The 21,321-nt window shown below is 50.9% G+C and overlaps 1 protein-coding gene across 13 annotated transcripts in view, besides 1 other annotated feature; it reads left to right on the forward strand.

Moving 5' to 3' along the window:
- Positions 1 to 21,321, forward strand: part of ST3GAL4 (ST3 beta-galactoside alpha-2,3-sialyltransferase 4) — a 58,953-nt gene that overhangs the window by 6,116 nt on the left and 31,516 nt on the right. Inside the window, exon 1 of one of the 13 annotated variants that reach the window (XM_047427421.1) lies at positions 4,471 to 4,533. The exons of 11 other annotated variants lie outside the window; for them this stretch is intronic. In XM_047427421.1, the coding sequence (XP_047283377.1) occupies positions 4,483 to 4,533 (51 nt within the window). In that variant the 5' untranslated portion in view covers positions 4,471 to 4,482. Of the gene's footprint in view, positions 1 to 4,470; positions 4,534 to 5,574; positions 5,601 to 21,321 lie in introns of those variants that run through there. One more of the 13 variants, XM_047427418.1, reaches the window with a different exon arrangement.
- Positions 2,785 to 3,302: an enhancer, noted in NCBI's record as "H3K4me1 hESC enhancer chr11:126234481-126234998 (GRCh37/hg19 assembly coordinates)". NCBI's record gives its function as "activates a minimal SCP1, AML or CMV promoter by ChIP-STARR-seq in naive H9 embryonic stem cells {active_cell/tissue: H9 hESC(naive)}" and the evidence as "EXISTENCE:reporter gene assay evidence [ECO:0000049][PMID:30033119]".

Consider the following 21,321-nt stretch of genomic DNA (forward strand, 5'->3'; position numbering starts at 1 on the left):
CCTTCCCTCCATGCATGGCCTTGGATACAGCTTGCAGCCTGCCACTGTAGCCTCCATTTCCTTCTCCGAGAAATTAACACTTCTTTTTTTTTTTTTTTGAGATGGAGTCTGGCTCTATTGCCCAGGCTGGAGTGCAGTGGTGCGATCTCGGCTCACTGCCATCTCTGCCTCCTGGGTTCAAGTGATTCTCCTGCCTCAGCCTCCCAAGTAGCTGGGATCACAGGTGTGTGCCACTACTCCTGGCTAATTTTTGTACTTTTAGTAGAAATGGGGTTTCACCGTGTTGGCCAGGCTGGTCTCAAACTCCTGACCTCAGGTAATCTGCCCACCTGAGCCTCCCAGAGTGCCAGGATTACAGGAGTGAGCCACCGTGTCTGGCCAACATTTCTTCCTTTTTTTTTTTTTTTTTTTTTTAAGACGGAGTCTCACTCTGTTGCCCAGGCTGGAGTGCAGTGGCACAATCTCAGCTCACTGCAACCTCTGCCTCCCGGGTTCAAGCGAGATTCTCCTACCTCAGCCTCCCGAGTAGCTGGGATTATAGGTGCCCACCATCACACCCGGCTAATTTTTGTATTTTTAGTAGAGATGGGGGTCTCACCATGTTGGCCAAGCTGGTCTCGAACTCCTGACCTCAAATGATCCACCTGCCTCGGCCTCCCAAAGTGTTGGGATTATAGGTGTGAACTACCGTGCTCCGCCTGGCCAACACTTCTTAATGGGATAATGTTTCAGATAACATCCAGTGCCCGGACTCCAGCACTCTATAAATGCTGGCTGGTGTGCTTTTCTGGGATTCCAGGGTGGGGTCCAGAGACTGAAGAGGGTCTGCTTTCTGGCCCAGGGGAAGAGGGGCAGGTGGCTCACTAGGAGCTGTCCTGGCATCCTTTGTCCCCGTCCACTTACCAGTTATGTGACCTCGGGCAGGTCTTGCACTCTGGCACTCAATTAGCATCTGTGTTAATTGGGGTAAGAGTATCTGCCACGTCTCACAGCCTGGTGATGGACAAACAAAACAAACATTTTTTAGGCTGGGAGAGGCCTCAGAGGTTGGCTGTCATATTGCAAACGAGGGAGCAGAGACTCAGAAAAGTAACTTAGTTGTTTAAGGTCACAGAGCACCTCTCTCCCCACAGGCAGGGAGCCGGTAATTGGGCTGAGCCTCAGGAGTAACCCTTCTCTCTCTGCCTCTCCAGCCCCTACCTTATGCCTGGCCCATTCAGCTGGTCTGTTCTCCAGGCCCCTAGGACTGGGTGGGCTAAGATGAGTGGTCTAGAAATCCCTCCCCAGCTGGGCTGGACTGAATGAGGGGCTGGCCGAGGAGCGGGTGTTGATGGAGTATGGGAGATTGTCCTCACAGGCAGTGTGGGCCGTTTCTCTAGACCTCCTGCCCCCATCTCCTTCCTGTCCCTGTTTGAGCCGTGCTCTTCTTCTTCAATCCCTTTCTGTCTGCCTTCTCTTTCCACCCCTAGATTTCTCACCATCTTCAGTGATCCCTCCTCCTTCCTTTCTGCCTCCTCTGCATTCTCTCCTTGCCCTTGCTTCTCTGATCTGCCTTTTTTCTCCAGCCTCAGCATTCAGGTTGTCCTCATAGTGGAACTGGGACTCTGGGGGTGGCTGGGTTGGGTTGCCTGGAGGCCGGGAATGTTCAGGAGAGCCTTCATTGGGAGCCCATGGGAGCAGGAGTCAGCTCCTCCTGTTGGCAGCTCCAGCATTTTCGAACAAAAATGGCTCTTCCAGGAGTTGAGTTTGGCGAAGAGACAGTGCCTGCCCAAAGTATGCAATGCTTTTATCTTTAGCTCAGCTCCTGAGCCCTCATGCAACTCTTTGGACATCTTCCTGCAAAGGACGGTGGGATCTTGTCTTTCTGGGGCCTCAGGGTCTCCAAAGATGGGCTGACTAAGCTTCCCTAGCCTGGGACCTGAACCCTCCACCCTCCTCTCTCTTGAGCTCTTTCTCCCAGGGGAAGCTGCTCGAATGAGGGGAGTTGGCCAACACAGTTTTCTACTCTCAGACCCCATTGAGGTGAGCACACAACAGTGTTCTGTGTGAGGGTCTGGATACACTCCCCACCCTCCCAGGCCCGGCACCGTGTCGCCCTGCCCCAGCCCAGAGCTTGCCTCTGTTGGCTTTGTGACCCTCGCTTTGTACTGTGGCTTTGTTCTGCCTTAGGGACCAGCTGGTCCCCTGCTGTGGTTCCACACAGTGGAGACTGATCCCTGACCACTCATTCAGCTGCCTGGCGGCCCTGGGGCAAGTGTTTGTCCCCCATCTCCCAAAATGGCGGGGTGCAGGGGCTCCCTGCCCGGAGTCCCAACCCTGCCAAGGCAGAGGGAATGGGGAACAGCTGCGCTGGCCCATTCCGGCTCCATATGGATTTGGTTTGACAACAAAGCTCCCTCTGTGTGTTCCCAAGCCCCTTACATAACCAGGGGCTGTGGGCAGAGGAGGAAAGGAGGAGGAGGTGGAGATGGGGACCAGGAGACACCAGGATGGGATGGCTGGAAAGGACACAGGGACCGGGAGGAGAGGGCAGGAGACGAGGGCCAGAGAGGAGGAGAGGGTGGGAGCAGGAGGGGGAAGTGCTGGTCTTGACCTCCCAGTTCTGCCTCCTGCTTCCTGGGGAGGGGAGGGTGGAGTCCAGCCACCGACTTCTGCTTGTGGATGCTTTGTCTTCTTTTCTTTGGACCTTTCCCACCAGTCCTGGATAGGCTGAGGAGGGGCCGTGGGACCTGTCTGGGGTGAGGTGAGGTCAGGTGTTGGGCTGGATGTGGGAGGCTGTTCCTTGGCCGCAGCCTGTAACTGAATAAATGCCATTAAAAGGGGAATCCATTTCCTCCCTCACTCCTGGCTTCCATTGCCTTCCCCCAGGCCCCAGCCCTGGTTCCAGAATCCCTCTGACCACTCCTCTTGTGCTCAGGAGGGCAGAATAACTGCAGCCTTTCCCTGTGCCCTGCCAGGCTGGTCCCGGGCCCCCTCTCAGCCCACTCATCCAGGGATGCAGCTCTGGCCTTGGCCCACCCCCATCAGAGGGCCTGTGGCCCTGATCACCGCACTCCCCACTCTGTGACCAGACGTTCTCTCCTGAGCATCGCTGACCCTGCAGCTGTCCAAATAGAGCAAGAAGTGAATGTTCTCTTTGGGGCACAGCTGGACTGGCAGCCCTGCAGGGTCAGGTGAGCTGCCAGTCCTGGGTGTGTTCTCGGGGGTGGGGGTGGGAGGATCACGTCCTGGGCTGAGATCCCTTCAGCTCCTCCTGGGCAGGAGGAAACAGCCATGCAGGGGCGGCCAGGAGGACTGGGTGGCGGGTGGTTCTGGGCTCTCCCAGCTTCGGTTGGGGCTGGGACCCTGGGGGACATGCTCTCCTGGGTGTTCCCAGGCTCTGTGTCTGGCCTGTGCCTCAGTGTGTGGGTTTTCTGGCACCAGGCTTCCTTGGGAAGAGCCTCTGGTTGTGCACCAGCCCTGAGGGTGGGGCTCATCCCAGGCTGCAGGGGACTGAGGGCCGAGCTCTTCCACCTTGAGGACAAGGATGGTTCCTCAGGGCTGGGAGGAGGAGGAGGCGCTGGCCAGGACCTTAGATTACGCAGGGCATGGTGTTGGGGCCTCACAGATGATGGAGAAGCCAGAGTTCAGGCACTTGGCATGACCCCTGGCATCGCCTTCAGTTGATTTAGTGTCTCTGCCCTGGGATATTCCATGGGACCCTGGGCTGGCTTCTGTGTGCAGAGGTGGGTGTGGGCCATAGCCCAGACCTGTTGAACCAGTTGTAGGCTCTGGAATCCTCTGTCCCCAGGTAGTGACCAGGCCCTGACAGGCCGGTATCTGTCCCTCCCATCACCCTCCCAGTTATGGGTGCAGATGACCCTGAAATTGCTAAAGCCTCAGGGCTTGAGCCCAGAAAGTGTGAGCAGGCTGGTGGGGCAGCTGGAGGAAGGCCTTGCAGGTTCCTGGATTTGGGTGCCGGGTGGGCTGAGAGGACAGTCCCTGTCACTGGGACTGGGCACAGGTGCAGAGAGGCTGAGACGGGCCCAGAGGACAGTGAGTGTGTGTTGTGTGGGCGCCGGGCCAGGAAGTGCCCTCCATGGGGCAGCAGGCTCTGCAGTACCCTCGGCCAAATGGCCACAGGCTGCCCTGGGACACTCTCCAGGCCTGCTGGGGACACACCTGTGGGGCTCATAGGCGTGGCTGGGTCTCCTCTCAGGTGCCAGAATCTTTCTGGGAGCTGAGCCTGGCTGGGCAGAGGGCGAGGAGCCCAGGATTCCCCTTTCCGTGACTTTGGAGGAACGAGGTTCCTGAGGGCTGGCACAGCCACTCCCTGCCCCTTAGAGGCTCCGGGCTGCCTGGTGATAGCTCCCAGGGACCTGCAAGCTGACAAACAAAGTCTATACGAGCCAGAGCTGGGGTGGGAGGAACCCAGTGGGCCTGGGGGAGGTAAAGCAGCAGCAGCTGCTGTAGCTGAGCCCGGCCCACGGCCAGCCCTGAGGAATGGAGGAAGAGAGTGCCCTGGCTGGGGGAGCCCCTCAAGCCCTGGAAGCTGTATGTGGGCATGGGGTGGTGGGGGCGTGCAGAGAGGAGGAGGACTGAGAGCTGGGTGTGTGTGTGCGCATGCCTGTGTCTGTGTGATCTGGTTCCCGGGTGTCTGAGTAGGGACCAATGTGTTTGTGCTGGAGAAGCCTGTGTAGGTTACTGACATGGGGAGGGGTGGGGCTTGCTTTCCTCACCCCGCTTCCCACGTCTTCATTGAGTCCTCATCTGGGGGCCCTGTTCCACTCTCCTTCCCGTGTGCAGGGCCCTCCCCTCTGGCGAGTCTGCCTCTCACTCGCTCAGCCCCTTTAACCCTGCTGGCTCCTAATGAGACTTCAGGTGTGGACCCTCGAACCCTCAGCTGCACAGGTCTGGAAACATCCTTGTTCATCAAGCACCAGGCTGACCATGGTGTCCGTCTCAGTGCCCAGCAGATGTTCTGGTGAGGGGAGGCGGGAGTGCAAGGTCTGCCGAGTGAGGGTTCCTTCCGGGAGGAGGCAGGGTGAGCGCAGAAACCACTGCTCCAAAACTCTTAAAAGCAGAGCCGAGAGCCTGAATTCAGAGGCTGTACTGTGGGGCAGGGCTGGAATTTGTGGCACCTGCAGGGCTGAACGTTGCCTTTGCTGTCCCTGCTTGGGGATTTTGGGGTACTGGGTTTGGATAGAGTGTGTCATCTGCAGAGGGAGCACTGTTCTGGAAGTGGACTCTGCTCAGGTGTGGGGGGCCTGCCTGTAGGGGGCACCGTGGTGGAGATGGAGCACCGCTCATGACAGGAGGCTGGTGTCTGGTCAGGCTGAGGGATCCGTGTGCCAGCCCTTCTGGGAAGGCTGAATGGGGCGGAACTGGTCAGGGCCTGGCACCAACTCCAGGAGGTGCTACACCCAGACAGACAGATGGAAAGCCACCTCCCTAGAGGCCTCCTCCCCCTCCCCTTCTGCATGCCACCACACCCCAGCAGCGTCTCCTGAGGCTGGGCCATGGGTGAATCTGAGTCGAGGGCAGGGCAGAGTGGGAGTGGCAGTGCCTCTGCCTGTCTCCCTGGCCGTGGCAGGTCCTTTGTCACGTATGGACCAGGAGAGGTGAGTATGATTGTGGTAGTGGTGGGGGCAGTGGCTGAGGACCCCTCTCTTTGCTGGGCTGGGGCAGAGCTTGAATGGAGAGGGGCTGCCTTGTGCCTGGGAAGGGAGGACCAGGTGTCGCTGGTACCTTCCAGGTCCTGAATGCTTGTTCTGTGCCTAGCCCCTGCTGAGGCTGCGGACGTTACAAACCAGGATGTGTTTTGAGGCTCAGGACACCTCTGAGGACTTGCTGCTGTTACCCCCATTTAAAAGACGAGGACTCTGAAGATCTGAGGTGCATAGAGTGTAGGGATTAAAAGTAGTTCTGGCTGAATTTTAAATCCTGGTTCCACCATTTTTGAGCTCTCTGATCTTGGGACCCTTAATGTATTTGCTCTGTGCCTCAGTTTCCCCATCTGTAAATGAGAATGAAAGAGTAATCCCACATCCATTGGTTGAAAACTTCAATAAGATTATGCATAGCAGGCCGGGTGTGGTGGCTCACACCAGTAATCCCAGCACTTTGGGAGGCCAAGGCAGGTGGATCACTTGAGGTCAGGATTTTGAGACCAGCCTGGTCAACATGGTGAAACCCCATCTCTACTAAAAGTACAACAATTAGCTGGACATAATGGCGCGCGCCTGTGATCCCAGCTACTTGGGAGGCTGAGCAGGAGAATCCTTTGAATTCAGGAGGTGGAGGTTGCAGTGAGCCAAGATCACGCCACTGAACTCCAGTCTGGACCACAGAGTGAGACTGTCTCACAAAAAAAAAAAAAAAGATTATGCACAGCACCTGCAGCACAGCCCCAGGGATGATTTTTAAAAGTGAATCCAGGGCCAGGTGTGGTGGCTCATGCCTGTAATCCCAGCACTTGGGGAGGCTGAGACAGGATTACCTGACATCAGGAGTCAGTGACCAGCCTGGCCAATATGGTGAAACCCCATCTCTACTAAAAAGAAATCCCAGATTCTGCCATGCCACAGTGTCCAAGTCAGTCACCTGCTCGCAGTCGGCCCTCAGGCCCTGTGGCTCCTGTTTCTGCTGACTTGTCCAGCCTCACAGTCTGGGGAGGCCTTGGGGTCCCCAGCCTGCGCTGGGACAGGGGTATTATTCCGTCAGCCCTTCTGTGGAACAAGTAGGGAAGGAGTGATGTGACCTCCGTGGCTCTCCTGGGACACAGGTTAGTCCTGTGGGTGACCTCACTTTAGAGAGGGCTGGCCAGCTGTGCCGGAATTAGGAAGTGGGTACAGCTGGACAAAAGGTGGCTGGAGCCAGCTCTACAGAAGCCACACCTGCTCATGAGAAGGGTATCCTTGTGAGTACAGGGGAAATGGCATGGAGAAAGACAAACACTGGTGGGTGGCTCTGCCAGCTTCCCCTGGGGTGCTTCTGGCGATGCCCAGGCCTTTGCACGCTCAGATCTTTGCACCCCACTGTTTTAACTTGGAGAGGAGAGGAGGAAGTTAGCTGCTCTGAATGGTGTTGCTGCTAATCTCTACAGCACTTTCCTGTAAATTAGGAACGGTAACACACACACCCCTCCCCCACCCCGTTGGAGAAGCCCTGCACCAGAGCATACAGTTTGGCAAGTAGGGGGAGGGCTGGAGCCCAGCCTCACTTGCCACCCTGGCCAGGCCGTGATTGCCCAGGGTGCATACTGTGGCTGGTGCTCTGCCACCTGCTGTTTCTGTCCTCAGGGTAGGACACAAGGAGGGCAAGTAGGGCTAGTCAGTGAGAGGCACAGGTGATGCGTGTTCTAGGGCTTGAGATCAGCTGCTTCCATTTCAGTAATTGTCTTTGGAGGTACGTTGTTTGCTCAAGCAACCTCCCTTCAAGATAGTGCCTTTTTCTTTCTCTCTCTCTCTTTTTTTTGGGGGGGGGAGGCAGAGTTTTACTCTTGTCGCCCAGGCTGGAGCACAGTGGTGTGATCTCGGCTCACTGCAACCTCGGCCTCCTGGATTCAAGCGATTCTCATGCCTCAGCCTCCCGAGTAGCTGGGATTACACGTGTGTGCCACCACGCCCTGCTAATTTTTGTATTTTTAGTAAAGATAGGGTTTCCCCATGTTGGCCAGGCTGGTCTCGATCTCCTGACCTCAGGTGATCCGCTCGCCTGGCCTCCCAAAGTGCTGGGACTATAGGCATGAGCCACCGTGCTGGCTGATAGTGCCATTTTTTAAAATCCCTATTTACCCAGTGGAAAACCTGAGACCCGGAAAGGTCATTCACACTCCCAGAAGTGATGGTTGGTCCAGAATTCAGGTCCAAGTGTGAGACTTCAACATTTACATTCCTTATTTTTTCTTCTTCCTTTTTTTTATTTTAATCAAATTATTACTTCAAAATGTATCACACTCATCAGTTTGAAACAGTTAAGCAGTACAAATGGGAATATGAGAGAAAGTCACTCTCCCACCCGCCCTCTTGAGAGGCAATAGCCTTGTTTTGCATCCTTCTGAGTACTCTATTCACATAAGATGTATCTGAATATGCATGTAATTCTTTTGTGAAAGTGCATTTGGAGATCACTGTTTTACACCTGCCTTTTACATCTTAATATTATGCTTTGGAGATCAGTTGACATCAGCATGCATCGATTTGCATCCTATTTTTCACAGCTGCATAGTGTTTCGTTGTGTGTGCCTAATTTTTTAAAACAGGTGCCTGTGCATAGATTTCATGTTTCCATCTTATGCTGTTAGAAAAAGTGCTGCAGTAAAGATCCTAACAGACAAGTCTCTTTGCAAATATAGGAAACTTTTCTGTGGAATAAGCTTCTGGCACGGAAGCCCCGGGGTAAAGGGTATTTTGATAAATATTGTGAAATGTCTTCCCAGAAGGTGGCCTGGTTTTCACTTCCAGCATACATCTGTGAGAGGTCCTGCTTCCCACACTCCCCCAGCACTGTGTAGCTCAGGACCCTTGTTTTTTGCTGTTACTATTTGTGAAAAATGGTATCTCAACCACACCGGAAGTTTTAAATGTAGATAAATGTCTTATGTGCCATTTATATTTCTCTACAGTAAAGTATATATTCATAGCCTTAGCTTATTTTTAAATTATGTTCCTTCATTGTTTGGGGAGTGGGGGGTAGACTTGCATGAGTATGTTATAGGCTAAGGGAATTAACTGATAAGTTAATATATGTACATCTTGCAAATGCACTTCTTAGTTTTTTACTCTTTTAAGTATGAGCTTGCTCACTTGCTCTCTGTATCTCACTTAAACTTTATGTGAGTGTATTAATCTTTCATTATTTAGCTTCTGAATTTATATTTCTTCAATCTCCATTCCTTTTTTTTTTTTTCCTTGAAATGGAGACTCGCTCTGTCACCCAGGCTGGAGTGCAGTGGCACGATCTCGGCTCACTGCAACCTCTGCATCCCGGGTTCAAGCAATTCTCCTGCCTCAGCCTCCCGATTTGCTGGGACTACAGACATGTGCCACCACGCTCGGCTAATTTTTGTATTTTTTAGTAGAGACCATTTTGGTCAGGCAGGTCTCGAGCTCCTGAACTCAATCAATCTACCTGCCTTGGCCTCCCAAAGTGCTGGGATTACTGGTGTGAACCACTGTGCCTGGCCCTCGTTCTTTTTTTTATATGAAAATATTTCAAATATGTAAAAATTAATATAACAGACCTCCATGTGATAATCAGCCAGATTTATCAAGTGTGAACCTTATCCCATATTAGATATTTTTTCCTTTAAGAAATAAAATATTACAAGTATAGAACTAAAGATGTGCTACTATGATCTATTCTATTCTTCCCCACATTCCTTTTTTTTTTTTTTTTTTTGAGATGGAGTCTCACTCTGTTGCCCAGGCTGGAGTGCAGTGGCGCGATCTCGGCTCACTGCAATCTCTGCCTCCCAGATCCAAGTGATTTTCCTGCCTCAGCCTCCTGAATAGCTGGGATTACAGACGCACGCCATCACGCCTGTCTAATTTTTGTATTTTTAGTAGAGACGGGGTTTCACCATGTTGGCCAGGCTGGTCTCAAACTCCTGACCTCATGATCCGCCCACCGTGGCCTCCCAAAGTGCTGGGATTATAGGCGTGAGCCACCGCGCCTGGCCTATTCTTTCATCATACACATAAGCACGCACTATTTACAAATATACACAAACTTAGTGCTGTTTTCTGATTCATCCTTTATCTATTTGCAACACTTTAAAAAGTTAATGTTATGTTTTCACATTGATCCCAGTTGACCTGTATGGATTAATTTCTTCAGTTGACATGGCTATATAATATTCAGTTGCGTGAATGTAGCACAGCTTATGTAGCCATCCCTCTCCTGACGATAGTTAAGTTGTTTCCATTTTTTGCTATTGTAACACTGCTAATAAACATGCTTGAATGGGGTGTCCCGTACAAGGGAGGGTTACTCGGGGCTGTGCCCGGAAATGCAATCGCCAGATTGTAAGGTATGCACGTGTTCAGCCTGACTACATATTGTGAAGTGCTCTTCTAAGCCTTTGTATCAACTGGTACTCCCACCAGCAATGTGTGAGAAACTATATTTGGTTTTAATCTGTATTCCCTGGTTACTAGTGAGCCTGAGCATCTTTTCTGTCTATTAGGTGTTTGAATTTAATCTGTGAATTGCCTTTTTGTGTTCTTTTTTATTCCTTTGATTGTTTTGGTGGTGGTTATGATAAAATGCACAAGCACAAGGTTCTGTTGACCTGTTGACCGTCTTAACCCTTTTTATGTGTATAGTTCAGTGGCATTAAGTACATTTAGAATGTGCTACCATCCCGCCATCCAGCTCCAGAAATCTTTTCGTCTCGTCAAACTGAAACATCCTCCTGCTAGTCAATGGCTCATCTCCTTTTCCCCTCAGTCCTTGGCAGCCGCCATTCTGCTTTCTGTGTCTATGAGTTTGACTGCTTTTGAGTACCTCCTATAAGTGGAATGATACAGTATTTGTCCTTTTGTAACTGGCTTATTTCACTTTGCATAGTGTCTTCAAGGTTGATCCATGTTGCAGTGTATGTCAGAATTTCTTTTTTTCTTTTCTTTTCTTTTCTTTTTTTTTTTTTCTGAGACAGAGTTTCGCTCTTGCTGCCCAGGCTGGAGTGTAATGGCGCGATCTCAGCTCACCACAACCTCTGCCTCCTGGGTTCAAGCGATTCTCCTGCCTCAGCTTCCCGAGTAGCTGGGATTACACGCATGCACCACCACACCCGGCTAATTTTGTATTTTCAGTAGATACAGGGTGTCTCCATGTTGGTCAGGCTGGTCTCGAACTCCCAACCTCAGGTGATCTGCGTGCCTCGACCTCCCAATGTGCTGGGATTAAAGGTGTGAGCCATTCACCCGGCCGTCTTTGGATTTTATACAGCAAAACTCCATAATATTTCCTTTACATGAATTTCCTTTCTTTTTCAGGCTGAATAATATTCCATTGTACGCATAGATCACATTTTGTTCATTCATCCATTGATGGATACTTGGGTTGCTTCCCGATTAGCTATTGTGAATAATGCTGCTATGAACATGGGTGTACAAATATCGCTTTGATATTCTGGTTTCAGTTCTTTGGGGTATATACCCCGAAGCACAGTTGTGGGATCCTATCTTGTCTCTTGTTTTCTCTTTGCTTCCATGTTTTTTCTCATTGTTTCGTGGGAATACTGATATTATATATTCAAGTATTTGTTGATTACATGCACTGTACCTGACTTGTTTAAAGCCTGATGTCTTGAGTACTGTGCACCCCTGTGCCTGGCTGAGTAGTGGAGGAACTTTGAAAGGGTCTGTTCTGGAGAGGGGGTGCTGCTCTGGAGAGGCGGTGCTGCTTTGGAGATGGATTAATCAGGAACTTGGGTGCTGATTCTAGGAGGTACTGCATCTAGAAAGATGGGAGGTGGGGAGTGCAACTTCCCCAATTTTGCCTTTAACTTCAGATCCTTGGGGTGGGTGCATTGCTTCTCCTGGGATGGAGGGGTGCCGGGGAGCCCCTGACCAGGACCTGGAGCAGGTCCACACAGGCACTGGATTTGTCCTTTACTTTGGGCCCAGGCTGCACTCTTGATTCCACCTCCTCACACTGGCTTCAGCTTTCTCACCCTCAGAATGGAATTCAAAGCCTCTGCCCCTCCCAGGCAGACACCAAGGTATGATTTTCAAGTGGTTGGTGTCTTGTGACTGGCAGCTGATAAACGGGTGATACAGTGTTTCTATACAGGAGTCTGCAGTGCCAGGCTGCAGGGGCGGACGGGAGGGGGTCGTGGTGGGTAGCCTGTGGAGCCTGAGGGTGGGAACAGAGAGACTTCTTTTGCTGTAGGTGGAAGCCTGTCTGGCTCCTTTCCCTCAAAGGTCAGACAGCTTGAGAGATGTTTCCATCCTCCCATGCATGACCCTGAGGCAGTTAGCTGGTCAGTTACTCACTGTGCTCTCTGCCAACTCTAATGAGCCAGGAAGCCTCCCCGTGCCCAGGCGTGCTGTGATCACAGTGTTCAATGATGGGGTGAGGCTGCAGCGTCCAGCCAGGGACTGTGCCGCAGGGGCCAGAAGATATCTGACCTACTGTCACTGCCTCTTCCACTCTGTTCCACCTGCACTGGAGCGATGCTATCCGATGAACAGATCCATTTATTAATTCAACACGTTTGTATTGAGAGCCTGCTGGGTGCCGGGCACTATTGTCAACATGGGTAATACAGCAGCAAGCAAAACAAGAGAAACATCTTTGCAAGCAGGGGAGGGGGCCTGCAGTGTTGGGTGTGTGGAGTTGTTGCTGGGAAGTAGAGAAGCTGAGTAAGAGCTGGACAAAGAGGCCAGGCACAGTGGCTCACCCCTGTAATCCCAGCACTTTGGGAGGCCGAGTTTGGCAGATCACTTGAGGTCAGGAGTTCGAGACCAGCCTGGACAACATGGGGAAACCCCGTTCCTACTAAAAATACAAAAATTAGCTGGGTATGGTGGTGCATGCCTGAAATCCCAGCTACTTGGGAGGCTGAGGCACGAGAATTGCTTGAACCCGGGAGGTGGAGGTTACAGTGAGCCAAGATCACACACCATTGTACCCCAGCCTGAATGACAAAGCAAGACTTTGTCTCCAAAAAAAAAAAAAAAAAAAAAAAATAGAGAAAAGGAAAGCTGGATGAAGAGAGATAGCCAAGCCCATGTCTACGGAAAAGCATTCTTGACTGAGTGAACGAAAGTACAAAGCCTCAGAGGAGGGAGCATGCCTAGGTAGCCCCCTAGACCTGGTGAGGCTGGTGCGTGGGGCAGCCTCCATGGAGAGGAGTTGGGCAAGGAGGGAGGAGGTGCTGGCCAGTAGAGCACGTGTGTCTCTGTGCGTCAGAGCAAGGACCCGGGCTCTCCCCGTAAGTGAGAAGAGTCCATGGAGGTTTTGGGGCTGAGGAGGAGTTTTACAGATGACCGGTCTGTTCTTGGCACTTGCAATTAGCGGACCGTCTGTATCCGAGTGTTGATCGGGTGGATTCTAACCCTGTGGGAGAACTCCCCAGCCCGTAGCCTGCGCTCACTGTACCTGGCAGTTGTATTAATGACGTCAAATGCACAGTCCAGCTTGAGTCCCCTCTAGAACGTGGGCAGCGGACACTAAGCCGAGAGGAATCGCTGTGGGTTGGCAGACACTGTGGAGACTGACTCCTGGACAGGCTGTGGAATGTGTGGAAGCAGGTACAGCCCAGGCCCGCGCTGAAGTTCGGCAGGGAAGCCAGAGGAGTCCGCAGCCCGGGAGACCTGGCCTACAGCGGAGAGAGTCAGTCCATGCCAGTGGTGGGATGTGGCTGCAAAAAATGGTCGGATTCATGGAAGTCTGGTGTCCATCTGGCAGGCGTTAGTGGTCCCACGAATACAGCTGTGTGCCTTGAACACATACTGCAGAGCTTCCAGAGAGCACCAGGGCTGTGGGGGCTAGAGACTGTGTCTCGTGCGGAAGCGTGGCTGAGGAGGGGCTTGACAGGCTCTTCGTCACTGTGCGGAGCCTTCGAAGGACTTGGATGTGCTTGAGACCCCTTCCCCTAATTGCTGTGTAGGGCAGGGGTGGACATCCCGGGGATCGTGGAGTCTAGGGAGCCAGTCTGCACGGGATGGTTTTAGAAGCCGTAGGATGTGGGGGTTCTGGCTGAAGTAGCCAGAATTCCAGTGCCAGCTCCGCTCCTCACGAGCTGTACAACCTGGGCCGGTTACTGACCCCTTTCCCACCTTAGTTCCCTGGCTCTACAATGGAGGTAATTATCGTGTTGAACTCACAGGGTCGAGATCATATTTAATACTTGCACAGCCCTTAGAAGCATCTAGCACAGTGGTCCTCAGCATTTGGAAATGTCTGGAAACATTCTGTCACACCTGGGGAGTGGGATTTCCTTCTGGTGTCTAGTGGGTAGAGGCCAGAGATGCTGCTAAGCGTCCCACAATACACAGGACAGACCCCGCAACAATGAACTGTCTGGCCCCCAAAGTTAGTGGGGCAGAGATTGCAGGATCCTGATTCCTTTTCTTCCTTTTTTTTTTTTTTTTTTTTGCCCCTGGCTATGAGTAAGAGATCCTGGTTTCGCACAAAGTGAACGTGCAGTACATTGTTTCAGTTGTTAATTCGCCATGCAATACATCGTTAGTCACGTATTATTGTTTGTCAAATGTGTATAAAACATCTGCCACATTCTTGGCAGTTTAATAGAATCTAGAGATATAAAGAAGTTCCTGACCACAGAGTTCATAGCCTCACAGGCAAGATAGGAAAACACAGAATTATATAATACGAAATTACATTATATCATAGAGCATATTCTATAGTAAGTTACTCCGATTGGCTTTTGGTATTAAAATGTCTTCAGTTTCAGAGGTCCCAGGATAGTGGGCAATATTTGAAAGCCAGTAAATATAAAATAAAATATATTACCTGTGTGAAAGAGAATTTTTCAGGCACAATAATATTTTAAAGAGTTTATTTGTGTAAGAAGTGAATTGGGAAACAGAAAACCGAAAGAGGTTTAGTGGCCCAATGACAGTTTCAGAGGCAGGTGTTTGGAGAGTGAATGTAAAAGCAAAATGAAGAATTTATTTGATTTAATTGGTTGCAATTACAAAATTGCTTTGTTTGGTTTACCTTGTTGGAAGTTTCCTAGTCACATAACCATATGTTAGTTGGCTACTTATGATTGGCTGAAGTTTTATTTGTGTCAAACAGAAGCATTTACCATAAATAACCCCAGTTAAGATTTGATTATGCTGTCTTTTAAGCAAGGTTAAGGCTGTTGTTAAGGCCTCATTGGTTTTGTTTGGTAAGGAATTTTTCAGGCCTGGTCTCCAAATTTTGCTTTAACAATTCCTTGCTTCTGGTTATTCTCTCAGCAAGCTGATAGTGTGACTAGATGACACAGTATTACTCTCTGTTACCACCACCAATGTAGTCACTGGGACAAAGAGTCAGGTAGATGTTGTTGTCATCATCAGTAGGTAGGTTGGGGATGAGAATTCCATGGCCACAGTTAGCAGTTACATAGTCAGTGTTGCTTTCCTCAAGTTGAATGATCCTCATGGTAACTGTTTGATATTTGAGCAGCTGTTGGAAATCATTTAGAACCCTTGAGAGAATACAAGGCACCAGGGGGGTAAACATAATAATTATAAGGAGAATAATAGCCAAGGATTGAAAAATTCCTCTGAGCAAAGATTCCCAGGAGCCAAGACTTAACCAGCTGAGTGAATCAATGGAGAAGGCAGTGCCCATCTAATGAAAAACCCATGTGTGTTCTTTAAGGTATTTTAAGTTTTCGGTAATACCTGATTTGTTAACATAAAAATGACACTTTTTTTTTTTGAGATCGAGTCTTACTCTGTCGCCCAGGCTGGAGTGTAGTGGCGCAATCTCAGCTCACTGTAAACTCCACCTCCCAGGTTCAAGTGATTCTCCTGCCTCAACCTCCTGAGTAGCTGGGACTACAGGTGTGTACCACCACACCCAGCTAATTTTTGTGTTTTTAGTAGAGATGGGATTTCACCATGTTGGCCATGCTGGTCTTGAACTCCTGACCTCAGGTGATCCACCTGCCTCAGCCTCCCAAAGTGCTGGGATTACAGGTGTGAGCCACCGTGCCTGGCCAACACCTTCTTTTTTTTTTTTTTTTTTTGAGATACAGTCTCACTCTGTCTTGCCCAGGCTGGAGTGTGCAGTGGTGTGATCTTGGCTCACTGCAGCCTCTACCTCCTGGGTTCAAGTGATTCTCCTGTCTCAGCCTCCTGAGTAGCTGGGAATACAGGCGTGTGCCACCACACCCGGCTAATTTTGTATTTTTAGTAGAGACAGGGTTTCACCCAGGCTGGTCTCAGACTCTTGACCTCAGGTGATCCACCTCTCTCAGCCTCCCAAAGTGCTGGGATTATAGGCGTGAGCCATGCGCTCGGCCAGCAACACCTTTCTACCAATTAGGGAACAAGGTCTCCCTTTTTGAGCAGTTAAAGTAGCAAGAAGTCTTCTATTGTACAGTACTACTGAGGCCAATTCATTCATCCCAGATTGTACTGCTTAAGATAATTCGAAGTGTCAATTAAACTTTTTCAGAAGTTGGTAAAATATTAATTGATTTTTTTCAATTCACTCAACTGAGAGAAACGGGCTCTTACAGAAGTATGAAATCCAGAACCCCTTCGTAAGACTGTGTCTGGGATATTATGATTCTCTTTTGTGAGGGGTCACTTTATGTACAAATGACTCTAAGGATTTGTATGGCAATTGAAGAGTCATATCTAGTCATTTTAGGTAGAAGATAGCCCACACCACAGATCCAGACTGGCTAGGTAGAACACCTTTACATACTTTGTTGCTGCATAAAATGAATAATTCGGTGTTATCGATAGAAAGGGTCAAAGTGCATCCTATTACCCACGAGTTGGGGGTGATACGAATGTCATGGTTATTCTCCGTCACATCTGCGTCTGCACAGCGCCACGTTGAATGGTTATGGTTTCAATTGGAGTAGGAACAAAAAACATTTCTATGAATTTGATAAAATGACTGTATGCCATCATCAATTAGGGATGATTGGTTTTCTTTTTATTTGAGACGGAGTCTTGCTGTGTCACTCAGGCTGGAGTCAGTGGTGCAATCTTGGCTCACTGCAACCTCTGCTTCCCGGGTTCATGCGATTCTCCTGCCTCAGCCTCCCAAGTAGCTGGGACTACAGGCACCACCACCACGCCCAGCTATTTTTTTGTATTTTTAGTAGAGACAGGGTTTCACCGTGTTAGCCAGGATGGTCTCGATCTCCTGACCTCGTGATCCACCCTCCTCGGCCCCCCAAAGGGATGACTGGTTTTCTTTCCAAATATGACCTGAGCATTGATCTGTCCAATAAGCAAGACTGTTATGTACATTATGTAGTGGATCTATTGAGGCATACGATTTTCCTGTAGCATTTCCATTGAACCAATGTCTAGTTCTAGTAAGTTCTCTGATGATATGGTTGAGGCTTTCATGGTCATGTTCAGATTTTATATATGTGTCTCATGTAGGAATCTAGTCTTCATAATCTGTGTCAAACCTAAGAATTTGAGTACAGAGGGATTCTGGAACACTGCCCAGATTTGGCCCAGTTCCATTCATGTTTTCTGTGCGTAGAGATAAGTTACCATTAATGACATCAATCGTAGTTGTAGGCCATCCCTTTGCCTCTGTTGCTTCTTCCAAGAGCTACACTGGTTGATCATAAATATCAGCCAACTGCCAAGGGAAGGATACCAACCCTTTTCATAACGCCATTTTCCTGAATTGCTCACTCAAGTGTGTATGGGAGCAGGTTCTAATATTAGTTGTGATTCTTTCCATTTATCTAGAGGATTACGTAGCCACCAATTGCTTTGCTTAGTAGTGAGGATGGCTTCATGTTGAGCAGTAGATCTTAGAGGATATTCAGTGTGGATAATGAAATTCCCTAACGAAAATAAAAGTGTGAACCTTTTGTGCTAAAACAAAACAAAAACAAGTCTGAGTCAATAGAAGGGGGCCACATGGAGTCTTGTTTCATTGTCTTGGGAAAGCTGTGTCTATTTCATGATATCATCTACTTTTATGGAAGGATTTCTCTTGGGTATCCTTAATTTTGTTTTTATATTATTATTATTATTATTGAGACGGAGTTTCTCTCTTGTTGCCCAGGCTGCAGTGCAGTGGCACGATCTTGGCTCACTGCAACCTCCACCTCCCGGGTTCAAGTAATTCTCCTGCCTCATCCTCCTGAGTAACTGAGATTACAGGAATCTGCCACCACACCTGGCTAATTTTTGTATTTTTAGTAGAGATGGGGTTTCACCACGTTGGCCAGGCTGGTCTCAAACTCCTGACCTTAGGCGATCCAACCACCTTGGCCTCCTTAAGTGCTGGGATTACAGGCATGAGCCACCACACCCGGCCTGTTATCCTTAATTTTAAATCACATGTGGATTGACAAGTCCAAAACTCTAAGAGAGCTCTCATTAGCTGTGAAACATGTACCCAAGGTTCAAGATCCTGACATTTTGCTACGGTGAGAATAGTAACTGAAACTGGTGTAGTGTCTTTCAATGGGGCTCAAGGGCAGTTGTTCTCTGCTGTCTTTTACAAAAGAGCTAGTCTCGGCCGGGCACAGTGACTTGCGCCTGTAATGGTAGCACTTTGGGAAGCTGAGGCGGGCGGATCACCTGAGGTCAGGAGTTTGAGACCATCCTGGCCAACATGGTGAAACCCCATCTCTACTAAAAATACAAAAATTAGCCGGGCATGGTGACACATGCCTGTAATCCCAGCTACTTGGAAGGCTGAGGCAGGAGAATCGCTTAAACCCATGAGGTAGAGGTTGCAGTGTGCCGAGATTGTGCCACCGCACTCCAGCCTGGGTGACACAGCGAGACTGTATCAAAAAAAAAAAAAAAAGATCCAGTTTCCAGATTCCAGGTCACGTAAGGTGGGATCATCAATAGGCAGGTCACAGAAAGCCTCCTTCACCTGGTGGGATATACTTTGGCATCATACATCAAGACCTTGCAGTATTGAGTCACATCAGAGCCACCAGTAGAGTGGATAAATGAAGTTCTGTTATGAAAGGCACAAGTCGTTCAGTATTTATTTTGTGAAGGGCCACTTTATGTGTTCCCCTAGGGGCTGATGTTCTTGCCATAAAGGTCGGTGATAATTCTTTTGGCCAAGGTAATTCAGTTGACTCTGTTAATTTAGCTAATTTTAGTTTTGTGATACCATTTCTGCATTCAGCCTTTCCAGAAGAGAGAGTGATGAGGGCAATGATAGTGCCGTCAGGTCTGTAAACTCTTATTTGGTGGATAACCTGTCAAATAAAGCGAATTGCCCTAGCACTAGAGACCTCCTCGGCAGGTAGGTGGGATTTCATCTTTCTGGAGCCTGAGCATCTCCAAAGAAGAGCTGCCGCATGGAGCTTCCCTGACTGGTGACCTCCACCCTCTTCTCTCCAGAGCTCTTTGACCCAGAGGAATCTGCAGGAATGGAGGGAGTTGGCCAAAGTAGGGAGATTTTTACTCAGACCATATCCAGGTGAGCACACAACAGCCTTTTGGGCTTGGGCTGATGCGTGCATTTCTGTCTGTACATGCGTGCCTGGAAGTGTGCAGATGAGTGTGTGAGAGAGGGTAATGGCCATGCATCCTTGCATAGACAAGAACATGGGGTGCACTTCTGCATGTGCACAGCCCCTCCCCAACCCGGGCCTGTGGTGCTGTCCTGCCCCTAGCCCAGAGCTGGCCTCTGTTGGCTTTGAGACCCTAGCTTTGCACTGTGGCTTTGCTCGGCCTTAGAGACCAGCTGCTCCCCTGCTGTGGTCTCTCATAGTGGAGACTGATCCCTGGCCACCCATTCAGCTGCCTGAGGGCCCTGGGACCAGTGTTCATCCCCCCACCTCCCAAAACAGAGGTGTGTAGGGGTTCCCTGCCTGGAGTCCCAACCCTGCAGGATGGAGAAAATGGGCACCAGTTACTGTGACCCATTCCGGCTCCATATGGATTTGGTTTGACAACAAAGCTCCCTCTGTGTGTTCCCAAGCCCCTTACATAACCAGGGGCTGTGGGCAGAGGAGGAAAGGAGGAGGAGGTGGAGATGGGGACCAGGAGACACCAGGATGGGATGGCTGGAAAGGACACAGGGACCGGGAGGAGAGGGCAGGAGACGAGGGCCAGAGAGGAGGAGAGGGTGGGAGCAGGAGGGGGAAGTGCTGGTCTTGACCTCCCAGTTCTGCCTCCTGCTTCCTGGGGAGGGGAGGGTGGAGTCCAGCCACCGACTTCTGCTTGTGGATGCTTTGTCTTCTTTTCTTTGGACCTTTCCCACCAGTCCTGGATAGGCTGAGGAGGGGCCGTGGGACCTGTCTGGGGTGAGGTGAGGTCAGGTATTGGGCTGGACTTGGGAGGCTGTTCCTTGGCCGCAGCCTGTAACTGAATAAATGCCATTAAAAGGGGAATCCATTTCCTCCCTCACTCCTGGCTTCCATTGCCTTCCCCCAGGCCCCAGCCCTGGTTCCAGAATCCCTCTGACCACTCCTCTTGTGCTCAGGAGGGCAGAATAACTGCAGCCTTTCCCTGTGCCCTGCCAGGCTGGTCCCGGGCCCCCTCCCAGCCCACTCATCCAGGGATGCAGCTCTGGCCTTGGCCCACCCCCATCAGAGGGCCTGTGGCCCTGATCACCGCACTCCCCACTCTGTGACCAGACGTTCTCTCCTGAGCATCGCTGACCCTGCAGCTGTCCAAATAGAGCAAGAAGCGAATGTTCTCTTTGGGGCACAGCTGGACTGGCAGCCCTGCAGGGTCAGGTGAGCTGCCAGTCCTGGGTGTGTTCTCGGGGGTGGGGGTGGGAGGATCACGTCCTGGGCTGAGATCCCTTCAGCTCCTCCTGGGCAGGAGGAAACAGCCATGCAGGGGCGGCCAGGAGGACTGGGTGGCGGGTGGTTCTGGGCTCTCCCAGCTTCGGTTGGGGCTGGGACCCTGGGGGACATGCTCTCCTGGGTGTTCCCAGGCTCTGTGTCTGGCCTGTGCCTCAGTGTGTGGGTTTTCTGGCACCAGGCTTCCTTGGGAAGAGCCTCTGGTTGTGCACCAGCCCTGAGGGTGGGGCTCATCCCAGGCTGCAGGGGACTGAGGGCCGAGCTCTTCCACCTTGAGGACAAGGATGGTTCCTCAGGGCTGGGAGGAGGAGGAGGCGCTGGCCAGGACCTTAGATTACGCAGGGCTTGGTGTTGGGGCCTCACAGATGATGGAGAAGCCAGAGTTCAGGCACTTGGCATGACCCCTGGCATCGCCTTCAGTTGATTTAGTGTCTCTGCCCTGGGGTATTCCATGGGACCCTGGGCTGGCTTCTGTGTGCAGAGGTGGGTGTGGGCCATAGCCCAGACCTGTTGAACCAGTTGTAGGCTCTGGAATCCTCTGTCCCCAGGCAGTCACCAGGCCTTGACAGGCGGGAATCTGTCCCTCTCATCACCCCCCCAGTTATGGGTGCAGATGACCCTGAAATTGCTAAAGCCTCAGGGCTTGAGCCCAGAAAGTGTGAGCAGGCTGGCGGGGCAGCTGGAGGAAGGCCTTGCAGGTTCCTGGATTTGGGTGCCGGGTGGGCTGAGAGGACAGTCCCTGTCACTGGGACTGGGCACAGGTGCAGAGAGGCTGAGACAGGCCCAGAGGACAGTGAGTGTGTGTTGTGTGGGTGCCAGGCCAGGGAGTGCCCTCCATGGGGCAGCAGGCTCTGCAGTACCCTCGGCCAAATGGCCACAGG

Source organism: Homo sapiens, chromosome 11, assembly GCF_000001405.40.
Source record: "Homo sapiens chromosome 11, GRCh38.p14 Primary Assembly".
NCBI lineage: Eukaryota > Metazoa > Chordata > Mammalia > Primates > Hominidae > Homo > Homo sapiens.